The sequence below is a fragment of the Homo sapiens genome, chromosome X, assembly GCF_000001405.40.
Source record: "Homo sapiens chromosome X, GRCh38.p14 Primary Assembly".
NCBI classification, from domain to species: Eukaryota; Metazoa; Chordata; class Mammalia; order Primates; family Hominidae; genus Homo; species Homo sapiens.
This window is the reverse complement of record NC_000023.11, coordinates 116,684,828-116,694,881: the sequence shown is the minus strand read 5'-3', so window position 1 is coordinate 116,694,881 and position 10,054 is coordinate 116,684,828. Positions and strand designations below refer to the sequence as shown.

At 37.1% G+C, this 10,054-nt stretch overlaps 2 pseudogenes; one reads left to right on the top strand and one right to left on the bottom strand.

Moving 5' to 3' along the window:
• LOC100506955 (cancer/testis antigen 83 pseudogene) lies at nt 1,643–1,968 on the top strand (annotated as a pseudogene).
• SLC6A14P2 (SLC6A14 pseudogene 2) lies at nt 2,197–6,052 on the bottom strand (annotated as a pseudogene).

Genomic DNA, 10,054 nt, shown 5'->3' with positions numbered 1-10,054 from the left:
CGTTCACCTATGTAACAATCCTGCACATCCTGCACATGTATCCCAGAACTTAAAATAAAAGTTGATTAAGAAATAAAAAATAAAATAAAAATAAATGTCATGGTATAAACATGAAATTAAAAAAAAAAAGATACCTTTAGTGCAAATTTGTTGTGAGGCTTATATGTGAAAATGTCCCCAAAATTATTTCTTAAACTGTATAATGACACAAATGTATGTAATTATTCCAATGTGACTAGGGTTGGAGTAAATTCTAAAATAGCTATGTGAGTGTGGAGTAGGTAGTTTCTGGCAAAAATAATTTGTGGGTAACTACTTTTTACAGTGCGTTTCTGTCTTGTTTTTGAAGTGAATAAAGGAGTGGCTGCAGCAAAGACATATTTTTTTTTAAGTAGGAGCAGTTTTAAAATACTCTATTTAACCAATCCATTTGGAGGCTATACTTCCACCACGTTTCAGCTTCCCAGAAATCCCTAACTTCCTCACTGTCTTTCACTCTCCTCTCTAAGGACCTGACACTAACCAGGCGGGCGGTTACTAAGTGCCGCCTGGTTTCCGGCAGGACCGGTTTTTACGTCATCTTATTGTGGCGCAGCATCTCCGCGTGCGTGCCCAACTGTGAGGGCGCGCGCTCTCAGCAGTATATAAAGCGGGACAACCCCAGAACATCCCAGTTGCACCAGGCGATGCAAGACACATGGCAGTCTGGCCTGAAGTTTCCCAAAACAGGCTGACTAGGGGCCTACTGCTTCCCAACTACCAGCTGAGGGGGTCCGTCCCGAAAAGGGAGAAGAGGCCTAAGAGGAAACATCAACATCTTTTTACTCCTAGCGAGCGGCATTCTGTGTGCCTTGATTGTCTTCTGGAAATATCGCTTTCAGGTAACGGTGAATGTAAGGGAGATTTGAATTAAATGAAGCTAGATAAGTATATGGACTGGGGAGTGTGTATGTAAGAGAGTAAAATACAGTAAAATGAGAGGTAAGGGGAGATCATCTCATTCCTCTTTCGCTCAAAGGAGCCCCAGACTTTTACCCCCTCACTCCCGCAATTCCCGTATTCTGACCAGTGATTCGACAGTTGTGGTCTCTTCTAAAAAGCCCCAAGTCCCTAAGTAATATGGTCAGCTTTTCACTCATTGGAGAGCAAAGTGCAGTTGTCAGTGCCCATTCCCCACCACCGTCTCCCCACTTTAAGATAATCTTACCTTCTCTCTTTCTTCTCTTGCTTCTCCTCCCCAACGTGTCTGTTTGCTAATGTCGCCATCTTTATTTTAAGGGTGCTTTCTGGGCATTCACAAATAATTCGAGTGTAAGTGTGGATTTTCTGGTGTTAAAGTCACTAGTGAGGTGCTTTTAGATAAGAGTCAAAGACAGGGTTCATATGTTTACCTACTGGGCTGCTCAGGAAATGTAAGGAAGGATATGAAACTTTGGCACTAACGGGTATTTTCATATATTTTTTTTCTCAGTCTGGTTTTGGAAGAATATATTTTTGAATTAATGTAGTAATTCAATACATTTTTGATCTCTACATATTAGGGGAAATCAGTTTATTTTGGTAACCAAGATTAAACAAGTTGTTTTTCGGTAGTTTGGAAATTGCTTAATTTGATAAACTACAGATGTATAATTTCCTTCCTTTACAGGGAAACAATGGCGAAATGTCATCAGTTTCAACTGCTTTTGCACTACTAAGACGCTTTTCTGGGTTAATTAGCAGCAATACAGACAACGATCTTTTATTCAACAACCTCTCTCGAGATATTTTAAATAATTTCTCACACTCGAAAAACATGCAGAAGCGACTATTGGCAAACCTGAAGAGGGTGGAATACCAAATGGCTGAACTGGAATATTTTCTAGTTAGCGAGGGTTTGAGAGGTGCGTCAGGTCTCCAGAAATTCACCTCAAAAGCGTACAGGATGTAATGCCAGTGGTGGAAATCATTAAAGACACTTTGAGTAGATTCATTTGATTGTGTGTTTATACTAAATGAATTATTTTTTAAGAGGGAGGGGATGACAAGTCAGGTAAAAAAAATCCAGATACTTATCGAGTTTCTTACTTATACTTTAGGTAATTGATTACATGTTGCTAAAATATATTTACTGGGGAAGGAATGTAACCACAATAGAAAAAAAACAGTTCAAAAGTTTATTTTTAAAAAATAAATAAGCTACATTAAACAATATAGTTGAGATATAGTGATTTTTATTTCATTCAACTGTGAAAAACAGTTTTCACTAATGGTTTATAATGCAATACCATAAATTGTCTCCATAAATTACTTTGCATTAAAGTAAGTAGGATTTGATGGAACTGTTTCCCCTTGTGTAGAATGCTGTTTCTTGCCACTGTTGAATCTGGGTAATAATAATAAAAACTATTATTGAACACCCTACAATATGCCAAGCACTATGTTAAGATTTGTGCTTTACACATTTGTGAAGATAGTGACAAAAACTTTTAACTACTCTTTGTGGTCAGCTTTTGAAAAAGATTTCTTTCCTTTCACACTTCTCCCAATTAGATATTCTTTCATTTAAAATCAGCCAGGCACAGTGGCTCATGCCTGTAATCCCAGCACTTTGGGAGGCCGATGCGGGCAGATCATGACGTCAGGAGATCGAGACCATCCTGGCTAACATGGTGAAACCCCATCTCTACTAAAAATACAAAAAATTAGCCGGGCATGGTGGCACGTGCCTGTAGTCCCAGCTCCTCAGGAGGCTGAGGCAGAAGAATCATTTGAACCTGGGAGGCGGAGGTTGCAGTGAGCCGAGATCGCGCCACCGCACTCCAGCCTGAGGGGCAGAGCGAGACTCCCTCTCAAAAATAAATACATAAATAAAATGAATTTTAAAAAATGAAATAAAATGCCCAAATCCTCCCTGAATTGCAAAAGTCACCTATAAAAAATTGGACACCTTAAATAGTACCAAAATGTAGTGGTAGAATGCATGTAATATAATGTGGATTAAAATTAAGGAAATGTATTTCTAACCTCTAGTTAGCCATCTGTTTTCAAATATTATTTTTTAGAATCTTGTATCTAAGGAATTAACAATCTGTTGAAGTTTACTAATAGCATTTGACCTGCCTTCAAGGGAAACCCTCAGAATGTCAGACACTTTCATCTTAGACGTATGCACATAACTTACTGAGGTGATTCAGTTAGAGGCCTACCTATTTACGTACTTTCATGTCCCCTCCCCCCTAAATAAATTACCAGTATAAATTAAAGAAATGCCTTAATTTCTTACTCCTTTCATCTTCAATTACAAGAAAGAGAAAACAATTTAAAATATTTAAGAAAAATTATTCCTTCTATTGTCACTCATTTGCCAAGCACAAAATGTCAGCAGTAGTGTATGTGGTTCTTAAACGTCTTTAGGTCACAGATTTCTTTGATATGCTGATGAAAACTATGGACTCTCTCCCTAGAAAAATGCATGTAGAAGTACACACAGAAAATATTCCATATAATTTCTGTTTTTTACATTCCCTGAAGCCTATTTTAAGAACCTTAAGAATTGATGAAAAGTTCTTTATATATGTAGGCAGTGTTTATCATCATAGGCTGTGATGCTTAAACCAGTTGTCAACAGTATATAATAAATATGTAAAGCTCTTAGTAATATATTTAATTATCCTTTGTGAGGAAACTAGGACATGGGACTTCTAATTTGGCTTTTCTCATTCTTGGCAAGTTTGACGAGTTTATCTTCTAATAGTATGTAAGTAAGTTATCACCTGTAAGTAATAACTTATTCATATAAGGCAAAATCACTCTATCAGCTGGGTATCACAATCATAAAATGCTAGATTTGATTAAAGCCATTTTCTCATTAATGTTTCGGTCCATATGCTATTTGAAATTAAACATGTATTTCAGAGGGTATAATGAACAACTCTTAATTTTGTGAAACACAATAGAAATTGAATGGGTCCTAGTTTTGTTCCGAATGACCCAAGGAAGGAAGATTGTATATGGGAAAGGAAGTACTCAAAATTTCATTTTCTAGATTTCTTTCTTACTGGCCATGGGATCCTTATTTTTCTCTTATGTCACTCTTTATAAAGAACATTAACTACACGTTTCACACAGAAAACATGAACTGTAACAAATGCTTGAAGTTTTTAAACATATTTGGATAAAAATATTAAACTACAGTCCTCTTATAGTATACATAGTCCATTTTTGCATATATTTATGACATTTCTAATTAAGTGAGGTCTTCAGTTTTAACGCTTTCTTTTAAATGTATTGATTTATATTCCCCACAGATTTGTGGAAAAGAAAGATTTTATATTAAGAAAATACAAGTAAATAATATTTTAAAACTTGTATAGTGGAAAATGTAAATATTTCAAAGCAATTAGCCCCAAAAAGCCTTCAATGTATTAGAAAAGCATTCTAATATTTACAAAAATATAATTATGATATACAGACAGTTATGTATGTATGTGTGTGTTTTACAGATAGATAATCTAAAAAGAAATATTATCACATGGCTGAGCATTAAGAAATTCACATTTTTATATTGCATTCCTGCTTAAATGTGAGAAAAATCACACTATCATGAAAATAGTATGTACATTTCCCTACTCAGTTAACATACAAATAAAAAAGTTTCCCCCATTCTTAAAAAAACAATAACATTATACAATCATATATTTTTTTCAGTGAGATCTCATTCTGGTTTTCTGCTGCCACTAACAGTAGGTATGTCACTGTCAGTCTCTTTTTGGGGATATATCATGCCTTTATATCTCTCCCCAGAACGTTGTTCCAGGTATGGAACCCAGTTAGAAGCTAGTCTGCAGCAACTTACAAGGCACTGAAGTGAAAAAAAAAATTACTGTCTTAGAATTTAAGTGCTATGATCTGTAAACAAGTAAATATTGAACTGTACTTTCATTTAAATTTTTTTCTTTACTAACAAAAAATAAGAATCATAGGTAAAAAGTGATCATCTAAATTCGTATTAATGCACAGTTTACCAAGATAAAAGCATAATCAAAAGTAACTAGTTGTTAATAGAACTATATTAACTACTAAACCAAAATAACTGAGTATGTAAATGAATTCAAAACAAGGTGTGTGAACCCATTAGAGTAACAGTGTGTCTACTCTGTATCTTCGCTGAATTCTCCGACATTTCCATCCTGGCCTTAGGATGAGTGTGAGGTAAGGATCTAAATCAGTGTGTACCTGGGATATGTTTCAAGAACAAAGGAAAAAAAGTTCCAGGATCAAACCATGGATTTGGATCCATTGTTATATGGACTTGCTAATTTATTTAAATCTAAGACTCCTGAGCCTACTTTGTTGTTGTCTTACTGAGATATCATAATAAACTTTATCCCCTTAGACCTCCATGGAAGAAAGACGACTCAGGGTCTAGATTGAGTTCCAGATATTTACCAGGCTTATTCCAGTATGAAAACACTATTAGGATGTATATTATAACCAGATAAGGTTTCAAAAGTAGTGACTATGGATATAAACCAAACAGGTCATTTGCTTTGTGACATCTTCAGGGACAACTCAGCACAGGTATAGATGTCATAGCTGTCATATGCTAAGCACTGTAGCAAGGCCCGTGGATACAGCAACAAGACCAGACTTCTCCCACAAGGAGCTTATAATCTACTATAGAGAAATACAGCAAATATATAAAGAATATAATACCATATTATGCAGTAGTAACAGATGGTTGTCAGATATAGAAGTAGCCAAGAAGTAGGAGTAATTAATTGCATCTTATATATTCTCATATGACATCATGTGAGTAAAGTAATCTTTAACCATAAGTAATTTGTATAAAATATAAAAAAAATTAATGCCCTCACTTGAAAGATGTTTTCTTTAGCCTGAATTATTTTTATGATAGCCATAATTGGAATCCAAATAATGTAGAAAATTATTATACACCAGCCTAGAGCAACTCCCCAGTCAGGGTATGGAATTGCACCATAATCAGGTCTATGGAATTGCATTAGTTACAGATAAATATTGCTGTGAAAGTGAAATATGCAAAGACAAAGCTAAAGATTCGACTTTATTGCACTAATGATTAGCAATTTGATTATGTTCCTTAGATGTGATTTATCAAAAATAATTAATATGAAAATATATTCAAGCAATTGAGATAATCTAGTAACAAGCCAGAAGACAACTATGAAAAGAACCTAAATAAATAACTTTCCTTTTTACATTGAATAAATTTTTCCAAAATTAATACTGTCATATATTTCTAAATCCAAATACTTGTTCAACATATATTTCAAGAAAATGCTAGATCATATATCAGATTAAAAGTAAAATAATATCTGAAATGTTCTGTTATTGAGCTTTTCTCTTTGATTTATAATAGCATGATTTTATTCTATGCCATAAGCTAACCAGCATATAGATTAATACAATAAGAATGTGAAGTACATTTTAATGGGCATGCTTTTCTCCTTGCTTAGGAACTGCTTCTATTCTTTCCCACTGCACAAAGCTCCCCTTTTAGCACATCAAAAACACACATGCATTTACACACACTATTTAGCTGTTTTTGTTTTACTAAAATCAATGAGAAAATACATTGTAAGAATCTTTATAAGTAGATCTATCAGTTTAATTTTAAAATTGTATTAATCCATTTTCATGTCTGATAAAGACATACCCGAGACTGGGAAGAAAAGAGGTTTAATTGGACTTAGAGTTGCATATGGCTGGGGCGGCCTCAGAATCATGACAGGACGTGAAAGGCACTTCTTACATGGCAGTAGCAAGAGAAAATGAGGAACATACAAAAGCGGAAACCCCTGGTAAAACCATCAGATCTCGTGAGACTTATTCACTACCACAAGAACAGTATGGGGAAACTGCATCCCTGATTCAAATGATCTCCTACTGGGTCCCTCCCACAACATGTGGGAATTATAGGAGTACAATTCAAGATGAGACTTGGGTGGGGACAAAGAGTCAAACAATATCATTCCTCCCCTGTCCCCTCCAAATCTCATGTCCTCACATTTCAGAACCAATCATTCCTCCCCAACAGTCCCCCAAAGTCTTAATTCATTTGAGCATTAACCCAAAAGACCACAGTCCAAAGTCTCATCTGAGACAAGGCAAGTCCCTTCCACCTATGAGCCTGTAAAATCAAAAGCAAGCTAGTTACTTCCTAGCTACAGTGGGGGTACAGTTATTGGGCAAATACAGCCATTCCAAATGGGAGAAATTGGCCACAACAAGGGGGTTACAGGGCCTATGCAAGTTCCAAATCCAGCAGGGCAGTCAAATTCTAAAGCTCCAAAATGATCTCCTTTGACCCCATGTCTCACATCCAGGTCATGCTGATGCAAGAGGTAGGTTCCCATAGTCTTGGGCAGCTCTGCCCCTGTGGCTTTGCAGGGTATAGCCCCCTTCCTGGCTGCTTTCACAGGCTGGTGTTGAGTGTCTGCGGTTTTTCAGGCACACGGTGCAAGCTGTTGGTGCTACCATTCTGGGATCTGGAGGACTGTGGCCCTCTTCTCACACCTCCACTAGGTAGTGCCCCAGTAGGGAATCTGTGTGGGGGTCCAACCCCACATTCCCCTACCATACTGCCCTAGCAGAGGTTCTCCATGAGGGCCCCAACCTTGCAGGAAACGCTTGGGCATGCAGGAGTTTCTGTACTTCCGAAATCTAGGTGGAGGTTCCCAAACCTCAATTCTTGACTTTTCTGTACCCACAGGCTCAACACCATATGGAAGCTGCCAAGGATTGAGGCTTGCACCCTCTGAAACCAGGGGCTGAGTTGTACCTTGGCCCATTTTAGCAATGGCTGGAGTGGCTGGGACACAGGGCACCATGTCCCAAGGCTGCACACAGCATGGGGACCATGGGCCCGGCCTATGAAACCATTTTTTTTTTCCTTAGGCTTCCAGGTCTGTGATGGGAGGGGCTGCCATGAAGACTTATGACATGCCCTGGAGACATTTTCCCCATTTTCTTGCAGGTTAACATTCAGCTCCTTGTTACTTATGCAAATTTCTGCGGCCACCTTGAAATGGGTTTTTATTTCCTACTGCATCGTCAGGTTTCAAATTTTCTGAACTTTTATGCTGTTTCTGTTTTAAAATGGAATGCTCTTAACAGTACCCAAATCACCTTTTGAATGCTTTACTGCTTAGAAGTTTCTTCAACCAGATACCCTAAATCATCTCTCTCAAGTTCAAAGTTCCACAAATCTCTAGGGCAGAGGCAAAATGCTGCCAGTCTCTTTGCTAAAATGTACCAAGAGCCACCTTTGCTCCCGTTCCCAACTAGTTCCTCATCAACATCTGAGACCACTTCTGCCTGGCCCCTATTGTTTATATTACTATCAGCATTTTTTTTTCCAAAGCCATTCAACAACTCTCTAGGAGGTTTCAAGCTTTCCCACATTTTCCTGTCTTCTTCTGAGCCCTCCAAACTGTTCCAACTTCTGCCTGATACTCAGATCTAAAGTCACTTCTACATTTTAAGGTATCATTTCAGCAACGCCCCACTCTACTGGTACCAATTTACTGTATTAGTCCATTTTCACACTGAGGATAAAGACATACATGAGACTGAGATAAAAATGAAGTTTAACTGGACTTAGAGTTCCACATGGCTGGGGAGGCCTCAGAATCATGGCGGGAGGTGAAAGGCACTTCTTACATGGCAGCGGCAGGAGGAAATGAGGAAGATACAAAAGTGGAAACCCCCGATAAAACCATCAGATCTCATGAGACTTATTCACTACCACAAGAATGGTATGTGGGAAACCTCCCCCATTATTCAAATTAATCTCCTACTGGGTCCCTCCCAGAACACATGGGGATTATGGGAGTACAATTCAAGATGAGATTTGGGTAGAGACAGAGCCAAACCATATCAAAAATTCAATGGCTTCATTTCATAAATTTAATTACAGAAATTTAAATGTATTTTATAATTATTATAAATGTACATAACTATAAGAGAATGACTGAGAGATAGTGGAGTTCAATACACATGACTTTATACAAAATAGATGGCATTGTAAATCATTTCATATGTAATACTTTTGCATTTTAAATTAAATTCAGGTGTCAAACCTATGTAATCATTGAATATTAGCTTGTTAAGAGGTCCAGCTAGACCTTCTAAGTTGACAAGGGGGCTTACTTTATTATGGAGACTTGTCAAATAAAAATATTTAGCAGCATTTCAAAGTCATTTAGCAGCATTTTTAAAGTCATTTAGCAAAAATATGGAGTGTCCAAATATTTCAATTCAGCATATCTAGTTCCAAACTGCTCACTTTTTGAAATTGATCTCATAATGTTAAAGAAATGTAATCCTCTCTGCAAACAAATATGACACTTTAGATTTGATGCAAATCATGGATAGAATTACTTTTCTAGGAAAACCTTTTCCTAGAAGGCTAATTGCCTTCCTCAATTGTTTTCTCTTCCTATCAATATTTTATTTATTCTAACCAACTTATTTATTCTAAACAGTATCTAAAATGAAGAATAAATTTAGCTTTGAACTGTGACAAGGGAAAATTATATCTTTTTCTGTGTCAGTTGTTACATTTGTCCTATTATTTTGTACTTATCTATCTAATTATCCCCAAATCTGTAAAGACTACAAAGGCATAAACTTTAGTGTTAGTGTTCACCATTGGATTCTTACACAATGTGAAAAAGCAGCTGATCAGTAACTATGTGCTAAATAAATATATGAATATAATTTTTTTTTTGTTTTTGAGACGGAGACTTGCTCTGTCGCCCAGGCTGGAGTGCGGTGGCACGATCTCAGCTCACTGCAACCTCCGCCTCCCGGGTTCAAGCGATTCTTCTGCCTCAGCCTCCATAGTAGCTGAGACTACAGGCATGCCACCATGCCTGGCTAATTTTTGTATTTTTAGTAAAGATGGGGTTTCATCATATTGGCCAGGCTGGTCTCAAACTCCTGACCTCGTGATCCACCCGCCTCAGCCTCCCAAAGTGCTGGGATTACAGGTGTGATCCACTGTGCCTGGCCCAATATATGAATATAA